The sequence below is a fragment of the Homo sapiens genome, chromosome 1, assembly GCF_000001405.40.
Source record: "Homo sapiens chromosome 1, GRCh38.p14 Primary Assembly".
NCBI lineage: Eukaryota > Metazoa > Chordata > Mammalia > Primates > Hominidae > Homo > Homo sapiens.
In genome coordinates this window covers 184,837,029-184,850,224 of record NC_000001.11, presented here as the reverse complement: position 1 = coordinate 184,850,224, position 13,196 = coordinate 184,837,029, and the positions used below count along the sequence as shown (strand labels likewise).

Here is a 13,196-nt window from a genome sequence, read left to right as displayed (position 1 = left end):
TTGAAGTCAGGTAGTGTGATGCCTCCAGCTTTGTTCTTTTGGCTTAGGATTGACTTGGCGATGCGGGCTCTTTTTTGGTTCCATATGAACTTTAAAGTAGTTTTTTCCAATTCTGTGAAGAAAGTCATTGGTAGCTTGATGGGGATGGCATTGAATCTGTAAATTACCTTGGGCAATATGGCCATTTTCACGATATTGATTCTTCCTACCCATGAGCATGGAATGTTCTTCCATTTGTTTGTGTCCTCTTTTATTTCCTTGAGCAGTGGTTTGTAGTTCTCCTTGAAGAGGTCCTTCACATCCCTTGTAAGTTGGATTCCTAGGTATTTTATTCTCTTTGAAGCAATTGTGAATGGGAGTTCACTCATGATTTGGCTCTCTGTTTGTCTGTTGTTGGTGTATAAGAATGCTTGTGATTTTTGTACATTGATTTTGTATCCTGAGACTTTGCTGAAGTTGCTTATCAGCTTAAGGAGATTTTGGGCTGAGACGATGGGGTTTTCTAGATAAACAATCATGTCGTCTGCAAACAGGGACAATTTGACTTCCTCTTTTCCTAATTGAATACCCTTTATTTCCTTCTCCTGCCTGATTGCCCTGGCCAGAACTTCCAACACTATGTTGAATAGGAGTGGTGAGAGAGGGCATCCCTGTCTTGTGCCAGTTTTCAAAGGGAATGCTTCCAGTTTTTGCCCATTCAGTATGATATTGGCTGTGGGTTTGTCATAGATAGCTCTTATTATTTTGAAATACGTCCCATTAATACCTAATTTATTGAGAGTTTTTAGCATGAAGGGTTGTTGAATTTTGTCAAAGGCTTTTTCTGCATCTATTGAGATAATCATGTGGTTTTTGTCTTTGGCTCTGTTTATATGCTGGATTACATTTATTGATTTGTGTATATTGAACCAGCCTTTCATCCCAGGGATGAAGCCCACTTGATCATGGTGGATAAGCTTTTTGATGTGCTGCTGGATTCGGTTTGCCAGTATTTTATTGAGGATTTTTGCATCAATGTTCATCAAGGATATTGGTCTAAAATTCTCTTTTTTGGTTGTGTCTCTGCCCGGCTTTGGTATCAGGATGATGCTGGCCTCATAAAATGAGTTAGGGAGGATTCCCTCTTTTTCTATTGATTGGAATAGTTTCAGAAGGAATGGTACCAGTTCCTCCTTGTACCTCTGGTAGAATTCGGCTGTGAATCCATCTGGTCCTGGACTCTTTTTGGTTGGTAAACTATTGATTATTGCCACAATTTCAGAGCCTGTTATTGGTCTATTCAGAGATTCAACTTCTTCCTGGTTTAGTCTTGGGAGAGTGTATGTGTCGAGGAATGTATCCATTTCTTCTAGATTTTCTAGTTTATTTGCGTAGAGGTGTTTGTAGTATTCTCTGATGGTAGTTTGTATTTCTGTGGGATCGGTGGTGATATCCCCTTTATCATTTTTTATTGTGTCTATTTGATTCTTCTCTCTTTTTTTCTTTATTAGTCTTGCTAGCGGTCTATCAATTTTGTTGATCCTTTCAAAAAACCAGCTCCTGGATTCATTGATTTTTTGAAGGGTTTTTTGTGTCTCTATTTCCTTCAGTTCTGCTCTGATTTTAGTTATTTCTTGCCTTCTGCTAGCTTTTGAATGTGTTTGCTCTTGCTTTTCTAGTTCTTTTAATTGTGATGTTAGGGTGTCAATTTTGGATCTTTCCTACTTTCTCTTGTAGGCATTTAGTGCTATAAATTTCCCTCTACACACTGCTTTGAATGCGTCCCAGAGATTCTGGTATGTGGTGTCTTTGTTCTCGTTGGTTTCAAAGAACATCTTTATTTTTGCCTTCATTTCGTTATGTACCCAGTAGTCATTCAGGAGCAGGTTGTTCAGTTTCCATGTAGTTGAGCGGCTTTGAGTGAGATTCTTAATCCTGAGTTCTAGTTTGATTGCACTGTGGTCTGAGAGATAGTTTGTTATAATTTCTGTTCTTTTACATTTGCTGAGGAGAGCTTTACTTCCAACTATGTGGTCAATTTTGGAATAGGTGTGGTGTGGTGCTGAAAAAAATGTATATTCTGTTGATTTGGGGTGGAGAGTTCTGTAGATGTCTATTAGGTCCACTTGGTGCAGAGCTGAGTTCAATTCCTGGGTATCCTTGTTGACTTTCTGTCTCGTTGATCTGTCTAATGTTGACAGTGGGGTGTTAAAGTCTCCCATTATTAATGTGTGGGAGTCTAAGTCTCTTTGTAGGTCACTCAGGACTTGCTTTATGAATCTGGGTGCTCCTGTATTGGGTGCATAAATATTTAGGATAGTTAGCTCCTCTTGTTGAATTGATCCCTTTACCATTATGTAATGGCCTTCTTTGTCTCTTTTGATCTTTGTTGGTTTAAAGTCTGTTTTATCAGAGACTAGGATTGCAACCCCTGCCTTTTTTTGTTTTCCATTTGCTTGGTAGATCTTCCTCCATCCTTTTATTTTGAGCCTATGTGTGTCTCTGCACGTGAGATGGGTTTCCTGAATACAGCACACTGATGGGTCTTGACTCTTTATCCAACTTGCCAGTCTGTGTCTTTTAATTGCAGAATTTAGTCCATTTATATTTAAAGTTAATATTGTTATGTGTGAATTTGACCCTGTCATTATGATGTTAGCTGGTGATTTTGCTCATTAGTTGATGCAGTTTCTTCCTAGTCTCGATGGTCTTTACATTTTGGCATGATTTTGCAGCGGCTGGTACCGGTTGTTCCTTTCCATGTTTAGCGCTTCCTTCAGGAGCTCTTTTAGGGCAGGCCTGGTGGTGACAAAATCTCTCAGCATTTGCTTGTCTGTAAAGTATTTTATTTCTCCTTCACTTATGAAGCTTAGTTTGGCTGGATATGAAATTCTGGGTTGAAAATTCTTTTCTTTAAGAATGTTGAATATTGGCCCCCACTCTCTTCTGGCTTGTAGGGTTTCTGCCGAGAGATCCGCTGTTAAGTCTGATGGGCTTTCCTTTGAGGGTAACCTGACCTTTCTCTCTGGCTGCCCTTAACATTTTTTCCTTCATTTCAACTTTGGTGAATCTGACAATTATGTGTCTTGGAGTTGCTCTTCTCGAGGAGTGTCTTTGTGGCATTCTCTGTATTTCCTGAATCTGAACGTTGGCCTGCCTTGCTAGATTGGGGAAGTTCTCCTGGATAATATCCTGCAGAATGTTTTCCAACTTGGTTCCATTCTCCACATCACTTTCAGGTACACTAATCAGACGTAGATTTGGTCTTTTCACATAGTCCCATATTTCTTGGAGGCTTTGCTCATTTCTTTTTATTCTTTTTTCTCTAAACTTCCCTTCTCGCCTCATTTCATTCATTTCATCTTCCATTGCTGATACCCTTTCTTCCAGTTGATCGCATCAGCTCCTGAGGCTTCTGCATTCTTCACGTAGTTCTCGAGCCTTGGTTTTCAGCTCCATCAGCTCCTTTAAGCACTTCTCTGTATTGGTTATTCTAGTTATACATTCTTCTAAATTTTTTTCAAAGTTTTCAACTTCTTTGCCTTTGGTTTGAATGTCCTCCCGTAGCTCAGAGTAATTTGATCGTCTGAAGCCTTCTTCTCTCAGCTCGTCAAAATCATTCTCCATCCAGCTTTGTTCTGTTGCTGGTGAGGAACTGCGTTCCTTTGGAGGAGGAGAGGCGCTCTGCGTTTTAGAGTTTCCAGTTTTTCTGTTCTGTTTTTTCCCCATCTTTGTGGTTTTATCTACTTTTGGTCTTTGATGATGGTGATGTACAGATGGGTTTTCGGTGTAGATGTCCTTTCTGGTTGTTAGTTTTCCTTCTAACAGACAGGACCCTCAGCTGCAGGTCTGTTGGAATACCCTGCCGTGTGAGGTGTCAGTGTGCCCCTGCTGGGGGGTGCCTCCCAGTTAGGCTGCTCGGGGGTCAGGGGTCAGGGACCCACTTGAGGAGGCAGTCTGCCCGTTCTCAGATCTCCAGCTGCGTGCTGGGAGAACCGCTGCTCTCTTCAAAGCTGTCAGACAGGGACACTTAAGTCTGCAGAGGTTACTGCTGTCTTTTTGTTTGTCTGTGCCCTGCCCCCAGAGGTGGAGCCTACAGAGGCAGGCAGGCCTCCTTGAGCTGTGGTGGGCTCCACCCAGTTCGAGCTTCCTGGCTGCTTTGTTTACCTAAGCAAGCCTGGGCAATGGCGGGTGCCCCTCCCCCAGCCTCGCTGCCGCCTTGCAGTTTGATCTCAGACTGCTGTGCTAGCAATCAGCGAGATTCCGTGGGCGTAGGACCCTCTGAGCCAGGTGTGGGATATAGTCTCGTGGTGCGCCGTTTCTTAAGCTGGTCTGAAAAGCGCAATATTCGGGTGGGAGTGACCCGATTTTCCAGGTGCGTCCGTCACCCCTTTCTTTGACTCGGAAAGGGAACTCCCTGACCCCTTGCGCTTCCCAGGTGAGGCAATGCCTCGCCCTGCTTCGGCTCGCGCACGGTGCGCACACACACTGGCCTGCGCCCACTGTCTGGCACTCCCTAGTGAGATGAACCCGGTACCTCAGATGGAAATGCAGAAATCACCCGTCTTCTGCGTCGCTTACGCTGGGATCTGTAGACCGGAGCTGTTCCTATTCGGCCATCTTGGCTCCACATTCCCTTTTTAAAATTTTTGTAGAGACGGGGGTCTCACTATGTTGCCCAAGCTAGTCTTGAACTCCTGGCCTCAAGCAATCCTCCTTGGCCTCCCAAAGTATTAAAATTACAGGCATGAACCATCATACTTGGCCTATAATCTGCTTTTTGCAGTTAAAGTTATCCCCAAACTACTTTTTCATAATGTCATCATAATTGTTATTTTAATTTGTGGAAAAGAAAAAAATATTATTTTAGTGACTGCATAATATTCCATTCAGTAATCCCATCTTATTTTGTTTAAGCTTGTTGTTAGCCAAGTTATTAAACAAGATGCTCCTTGAACTTTACTGAAAATAATTGTAAATGCTTAGCGTTTTCACAATGAAATCACCTATTTACCCTAAGTGTAAAGCTCTGTTAAATGGATCCCTTAGTGAGACAACTCATGCTGATGATGCACAGGATCCCAGGCCTTTGGCCACCCCAATGGGAAAATGCTTTCCTAGTGTCTTTTAGCTTAAAGCAATTATTCAAAATTGGTACACATTGTGGGCTCAGATAACCCAGAAATTAAAGAGAACTCTGTTGGCGGTACTGGTTCTTCTTGTAATAGGTCAGGAATGTAGACATTATCTTTATTGGTACATGACTACTGAAGTTCTACTTTTTTTAAAACAATTATCTGGTCTCTAAGAGGACTAAATTGTATACTGCCCCTCCAAATCTAAGGAGAGGGCCATGAAATTAGCCAGTGTTCTCACCTTTCTGATCAGGGCAGGGTGATGGGTTTGCAGGAGTATGTGGCTGCCATCCCTCCTTCTTAGGAAGAAAATGGATCATGGGTCAGTTTAATTTCTTAGGTCTTTGGAAAAAGGTTACGAATAATGAAGCTGGGATGTATTGTCCTAGACAAGGGTAAACTGCAGTAGTTAAAAGTTTTAAGTAAGGTTAGCTCCTTTTTGGAGCTGAATCTGCATGGGACTAGAAATCTATATTGTGCCTATTATTTTTATTCTTATTTTCCGACCTGATAAAATGAGTTATTTATTCATATGACCTTGGGCAATGACATAAACTTCTTCGATTTCAGTTTTTTCCATTTTCTACCAGAAATGATTACATCTGGCTTACCTGTCTCATGAGATTGCAGTGAGAATCAAATGAAATGTTGTAAATTGTAAAAGCCTCTGACAAGTTCAAGGTAGATGCTATTATTAATCATTGGTAATGATGATGAGTAGAATATTCCCAGATAGCATCATCAGACAGTGCTACACTCTGTAGGTGTGTTAGGCTAGGACATGATGAGTGATGCCAATTAATGCCAGTGATTTGTTCTCTCATGTAAAGCTAGCCAAGTTATTTTACTGTCTGCCTTTACTTGTAGAAAGTGTGCTCTCACAGATGTTGGTAAGACTAAGGTGTTCTGATTTCACAAGATGCAGGTAATCCATAGAATCAGTCAGGAAGAATGTCCCTAGTATTTTTATGTGCTACAGTGATAAATTATACCAAGACCCGTTTGTCAACAGCATTTCCAGAAATAAGAGAAAGTGTCATCAAAAATGAAGGACAAGTCGTGACTAAAGAAGCATCTTCCCTATTTGTTTGAACAGTCAAGCTTGCTTTAAATCGTATCCAAGTTGTGTAGTAAACTTGCCTGCAGAGAGTAAGCCACACAGATGCCCACAACGTCACTGAGAGGCACGTGACCCAGTTTCTGTGGTCTGAGCTGAAAGATAACCCGGGTGTGTGATGGCCACACCTGCCTGTAAAACATTATATGGTGGGCACTTTTTCAAATTCACATTTTTAAAGAGGGAATTAGATGGTTTTCATTTGTTTTGCTTAGGTTTTGTGGTGTAATTTTTTTCTCCAGAGGTCATCTCAGCAGCATCTCCATAAATAATTATCAAGGGATTGGGAGATAGTTTTGCACTCACTGTCTTAGAATACAAATCTTCCCATACAAAGCCATATAGATTTGTCCAGGGAAGATAGGAAATAATTGATTGTGTCATTGTTCTCTTGGCCTGACTTTGCTCCGGTGGCTATGGCACACGGGGTGATAGATTAACTCTTTCAGGTGTATGGAAAGCATGTTCAATGAATCACAACTTCAGCACACAGAGTATTTTGATGGTATTTGGAAAGAAGCAAATATTCTCTCTTTTTTTTTGCGGGGGGGAAAGTGTCTGATGACACCATCCATACTTTTTAGAAAAGACTGGAGTGTGGGTCATTTTCATATCTGTAAGGCTTTGAAAAAAAACTTATGGTAAAGAAACAGATCATTCATGCTAGGGAAAGAAAGCTATCACAGACAAGCTATAATCCACATATCCACTGAGTGCCAGAAAAGAGAAAATGAGATCAATCAGGGTTACATCTGGGGATTTACATCCAGACAATGATGACTGCTTCCGAAGGGAGGAGGAAGGGGTTCCACCATGGGTAGAGTTCTAGTTGTTTGGAATGGCGTCCTCATGAACCCACCTGAAGTGTTGATTCCTTATCCACATATTTTTTGATAAAGCTTCATTGTGGTACTATTTTTAACCATCACTTTGACTAAATGCGAGGGTTCATTTGTGTTAAGTGGGTGAGCAGTTGACAGAGTAGACCTTTTGTAACCTGCTAAGGAGGGAACAAGGTCATCAAGACGCTAAGCATTCAAGAACCATGGTCTTCTACTATCACCTTTGCTTTTGTGTCATTTTTTTTTTCTCAAACGTGATGTGTAAATCAACTGCAACAGAATTACCTGAAGAGCTTGTTTAAATACAGATTCCTGGATCCAATTCCAGGTCTGTTGAATCAGAATATCTATGGCAAAACCAAGAATGGATTTTTTTTTTTTTTTTTTGAGACAGAGTTTCACTTTTGTCGCCCAGGCTGCAATGGCACGATCGTGCAAAGGCACAATCTCGGCTCACTGCAACCTCCGCCTCCCGGGTTCAAGTGATTCTCCTGCCTCAGCTTCTAGAGTAGCTAGGATTACAGGCGCCCGCCACCACGCCCGGCTAATTTTTCATTTTTAGTAGAGACGGGGCTTCACCATGTTGGCCAGGCTGGTCTCAAACTCCTGACCCCAGGTAATCCGCCTGCCTCGGCCTCCCAAAGTACTGGGATTACAGGCGTGAGCCACCATGCCCGGCCTTACCACAAGTGATTCTGATTTGAGAACCACTCTCCTAATGCTGGGTAGAGGAGTGGTTCTCAAAGTGTGTTCCTGGACCTGTAGCATCAGCATCACCTCGGGAGCTTCTTAGAAATGCAAATTCTTGGGCCCTGCCCCAGACCTATTGAATCAGAAACTCTGGGAGTGGGGGCCAGCTATCTGTTTTAGCAAGCCTGCTAGGTGATGTTGATGCTCACCAAAATCTGAGAAGCACTGGGGTAGAGTACATCAGTTCCCTTCAGTATCTCTTTACAACAGTAGGGAAGGCAATCGTTAAGACAATGTGAATCATTTGCAACCTGGGTTTGTTTGTAACCATGAAATTTCAAATTTAGAAGAACTTTATAGGAGATTTAAACCAGCACCCCTTCTAGTGCTGGTTTTCTTTCTTCTCCTCCCACGTTCCCTCCTTTCTTTCCTTCTTTGAACACTTAATAAGTACTATGTACTAGGGAGTAGGGATGCAGGGGTGAATATGAATGGCAGCACCCTATCCTTTTGGAGTTTACAGTCTTGGGGAAAGACATATCTCACATGATTACACTAATAACTGTAACATTATAACTGCTGTAAGTACAGTGGTGGGAGGCACATGATGCCATGAGACTATATAATAGAGATTTGAGCAAATCTGTACACCTGTTACAAGGTAACTCAGCCCAGATGGAGTACTTCCTTTCTAGGGGAAATTTTGACATCCTGTTGGAGCCTATTTGACTTTAAGATAAGCCCATATGTTAGAAATTTGCTCCTTATATTGAGTCAAAATCTGCCACACTCTAAATGACACAACCCTGGTTCTAGTATCTGAATCTCCATGAAACGAATCCAGCCCTCTGTTCCATTGAAGATCTTCGTATAGATAAAGATCTCTTTCTTCTAGGTTTTTCCTTTCCAAGGCTGTGAGATTCCTCATTCACTTGGTCTTCTTCAGAAGTACTCCACTTTTTTCTTTATTTTAAAAAATGTTTGTAAAATATTCTGGTATCCAGCATGAGCTAGAGCCATGGAATGATGAGCTCAGAGGAGCATACCTCAGAATACATCTGTGACCATTCTTGTTCCTGTTATATTTCGCATTTATGAGGCTCAACCTTACATGCTTTGTGGACAATTGTATCACACCCCTGACTGACTTGCACTGAGCTTGCAACTAAATGAAACCCCAGGGTTTGGGGTTTTTTTTCTTCAAACTTCGTACCTTTATTCATTCAATTTATTCACCAATTTTTTATTCATGCCTACTATGTATCAGGCACATATTGTTTACTTATATGGATGTGTTTTTGGACTTAAGTGCAAGATTCATTTATCCGTATTGTACCCCATTTTGGATCCTGGTTCTGTCATCCACTAAACTGTGAGGAACTTGAAGTTAAAAGCCATATTTTTTTCAGCTTTGTATCCTCAGAGCCTAACTCAGTGTCTCATATGTAGTTGGTAAAGAAAATTTAATAACTATAATACACATACACACACACACACACACACACTCACACTCTTTTCTAAGTAATTGAACATGTTTTAAGGCAATGCCCTGGAGATTTCCCTCCAGGATGTCAATAACCTCAGCCCTTTACCCAGCACCCATGATTTGGGTGGTTTTAACTATTTGATTGTGTCTATTTGCATCATCAGCCAGTCTAAGTTTCTTTACTGTGCCAATCAAAATCATGCAAGATGTTATAGTTGCCTAGGTACAGGATGTCTCCGACAGCCTTCTAATCTACCAATCTAGTATGTCTATCTGAAGGAAATGAGGTTAGTCTGTCTTCACTTGTTCTAGTAGTCACCACTTCCTTTTCGCTGTTGACAAATAGTCTTTTAATATTTATTGACAAGTCAAGAATTCAAGAGATGGACTGCCTTTAGCTGGACAAGGTAGGCAGTATTTTTCTCTGCAGCCAAAAATTTATCTCAGAACAATGTCTTTACTAGAAACACCATTCTTCCATTTGTTTGAGAAGTGTTTTATATTCTCAGGGTGAGTTCTTATATTTTTATACTTTCAACTAGACCAACACCACTGTAACTCATCCTTGGGTCCCTGGATCTCCATGGGGTATACATGTATTCTTGACATATTCCTCCTCTCCTTCTGATAGGGCTGTGTCCACTAATACAGATATGATTTGGTCAGTAGATTAATATTTTGGTATTATAGTTTATAAAATATAATTGAGGGAGCTCTGATAATTTACTGATTTCTTCTAAGTAATGGGGCTGGTTCTCGTAAGAATTATCATTTATGATATGGTGATAAGCATTTGCTTAGGTTGGTCATGTATAAATGTGTTTTAAAATAAAAATTAAAACTTTTATTACCATTTCATTAGAATGAGCACCATTCATTGTTAATTCCAGGGAAGTTTTGTTTTGCTTTATTTTTAGTAATGCCATATCACACCCTATGTGGCCCTCAGTCTGTTCAATTGTAAAATGAAAGATTTGGACTAAGTGATCTCTAATCTATGATCAAACTCTAGAATTATATTATTCTAAACTTTGAGAAGAAAAGTCTCTTTTAAAATAACCTTAAAATTAAATGGAACAGGCCAGGCTCGGTGGCTCACACCTATAATCCCAGCGCTTTAGGAGGCCAAGGCGGGTGGATCACATGAGGTCAGGAGTTCGAGACCAGCCTGGCCAATATGGCAAAACCCCGTCTATACTAAAAAATACAAAAATTAGCTGGGCGTGGTGGTGGGCACCTGTAATCCCAGCTACTCAGGAGACTGAGGCAGGATAATCGCTTGAACCCGGGAGGTGGAGGTTGCAGTGAACCAAGATCGTGCCATTGCACTCCAGCCTGGGCAACAAGAGTGAAACTACGTCTCAAAAAAAAAAAATTAAATGGAACAACACACACACACACGCGCGCGTGCACACACACACACACACACAGGAATGCATGTAAAACTGGTGAAATCTGAATAAAAATGTTGGACTGCAGCAATGTCAATTTCATGGTTGTGGTATATCGTACTATAGGGTTGCAAGATGCTCCCTTTTGGGAAACCCGAGTGAAGGGTGTATATAGGGTATCTCTATATTATTTCTTATAACAGCATGTGAGAAATAAGAACTAATAATTTGAGATAATCTCAAATTTGAGATCTTATTTGAGATAATCTAAAATTATCTCAAAATAAAAAGTTTTTAAAAATTACATGATAAACTGTTATAACAGGACTTTAGAGGTAAGTGGCCATTGCTTGACCACATGCTAGCTTAAAGAAACTATTTAGCCTTCCCAAAACTCCATTTTCTTGTCTTCTGTAAAGTGGGGATATTAATTCCTGCCTGATGGGATTGTTGGAAGGATTATAGAGACTGTGTGTGTGTAAGCATCTCTCATGGTCCATACTCCATGGTAGGGACTCAGTAAGTGTTGATTACCTTCCCCTGTTCCCCTTCTTTGTTCTAGAAAGAAACTGGGGCACACAGCCTCACTGCATCTCCCATAGGAAAGATGACATCTGACCTGAAGCAAAAGACAGTTTAGAAGTGTAACTCAGTGAGATGAGCCCCGTAGCAGCATAGTGAGTAATGCTGTTACATAACTTTCACAAATCACCCGGCAGATCAGCTAACAGGGCTTGGCACAGTTTACTGATGAAATAAAATAACAAGGCAGCTTCCAAACCCAGCCTGAGTCAGGGAGTCCCAACACCACAGCCAGAGGCAGAATCTAGAATGACTCCACAGGCCTTGGAGCTTTGGTGTTTCAGTTGATTCAGATGTGTTATAAATCTGTATAAGTGGAAAAAAATAAAAGCAGCTCCTCTCTGGCTGGCCCCATGAATAACTGTCCCCAAGAGGCCTAGAGAAGTTTTCCTTTCCTTGCAGAATCCTTAATCATGTCTACCAAATATGAGTTTTCCATGCAGCTGCATGAATGAGGAAGTAGAGAGAGACTAAAGAGAATAGTGCATTCCTACACAGTTCTTGGTCGTGAGGATGTGATTGTTGAATGAATGGCCAAAATGTGTCTCCCCTCTATCTCCCCAAATGCTTATCGTTTCTCAGGGCTCTTTCCTCACTCCTGATCTGGTGAATGTTTTTGTATCGTTGAGTTGGCCAGAAACATAGAAGGCAAACTTACCAGGTTTTCAGATGATACTGTGGTATAAGAGACTCAGGGGACAGAATCACAGTTTTTAAATGATTTCAGCAGGTTCGGGGCTCTGGGCCGAGCACAGTAAGTTGTAATGTAATAGAGATAATGTTAAAAATCTGTCCTTCGAAGTCAAAAGCAGAAATACAGGCTAGGAGAGGCTTATATTGGCAAGAGTTTTATATGAAAAAGGTATAAGGATTTATAACTCTAGAAAGACAGGAGTCAACAGTGTGACGTGGTTGTATTAAAAAAGAGGTTAGAGATCAGAAAAAGAAAGTATCCTTTGACTTGGTATAATTTGCACCAGTCGGACAATACCTAGTCTATTGTATTCAGTTGTAGAGGTCAAGTTTAAGGAAGATATAGATAAATTTGAATGGATCACTGAGGGAAAGAAGGAAAAGGGAAGGTCAAATTAAAAAGATTCAAAAGATACGCTGTTTAAAGAACAGTTGAAGAGAAATAAGGATATTCAGCTGATTACTGTTTTTTTCTCGGGTTACCATATGGAAGAAGAGTAAACTTGTCTATTTTGTTCTGAAAGGGAGAAATGAGATTAATGGGAGAGAGAGTCCATGGAAACAGACTTTGGCTCAATAGAAGGAAAATTTGGAGCAGTTCAGTGATGGAAAGAACTATTTTCATTAAATTGTGAGCTTCCTGTCACTGGAAATAATCAAGCCGGGGCCAAACCAGTGTCTGTCTGGGATTCTGAAGGATCCCAACATTGAATGAGAGCTTGGGGTAGGTGACCTTTAAGATCACTTCCAACTCTCATAGTCTATTATTTAAGTTAGCATGAATGCCAGGGCCACTTACAACATGCCAGAGCCACTTTTTCAACTTTTGGCTCTGCTACTGACCAGCTGTGTGACCTTCAGCTAGGAAATTAACCATTTCTTGTTCCAGTTTCCTCATCCATTAAATGAGAGAGCTGAATGTAGTGATGTCTAAGTTACTCCCCAGCACTCTGTCTCCCTAGGCCTTCTCATAATTATAGCACGCTGGAAGAGTAGAGTTTGGGCTGATAGCTGCCATTTGTTTCTAAGTTGGCTTGCCAGGAGACTGCTTAAAAGCCAAAAACCATTTTGATTCTGAGGGCCACAGAACGAAACTCTCAATTTGCTTATTGGCAGGAGAGTAGGTGATTGTGAACCTGGAATTTGTTCCCATGAGATCTGTGGCAGGAAGTTCATAAAATAACTGCTAATCTGGTTTCTCTTGAACACCTGTACATTCTGACTGAGCTCAGCAATGCCTTCTCAAACAACTTAGAATAAATGAAGCTTTTATATTACCAT

The 13,196-nt window shown here is 40.9% G+C and overlaps 1 protein-coding gene across 6 annotated transcripts in view, besides 2 other annotated features; it reads left to right on the top strand.

Moving 5' to 3' along the window:
- Positions 1 to 13,196, top strand: part of NIBAN1 (niban apoptosis regulator 1) — a 183,477-nt gene that overhangs the window by 124,284 nt on the left and 45,997 nt on the right. The window lies entirely within an intron of this gene.
- Positions 3,733 to 4,338: an enhancer, noted in NCBI's record as "NANOG-H3K27ac-H3K4me1 hESC enhancer chr1:184815021-184815626 (GRCh37/hg19 assembly coordinates)". NCBI's record gives its function as "activates a minimal SCP1, AML or CMV promoter by ChIP-STARR-seq in primed H9 embryonic stem cells {active_cell/tissue: H9 hESC(primed)}" and the evidence as "EXISTENCE:reporter gene assay evidence [ECO:0000049][PMID:30033119]".
- Positions 6,282 to 6,371: a silencer, noted in NCBI's record as "silent region_1640". NCBI's record gives its function as "represses an Ori minimal core promoter by ATAC-STARR-seq in GM12878 lymphoblastoid cells {active_cell/tissue: GM12878}" and the evidence as "EXISTENCE:reporter gene assay evidence [ECO:0000049][PMID:35858748]".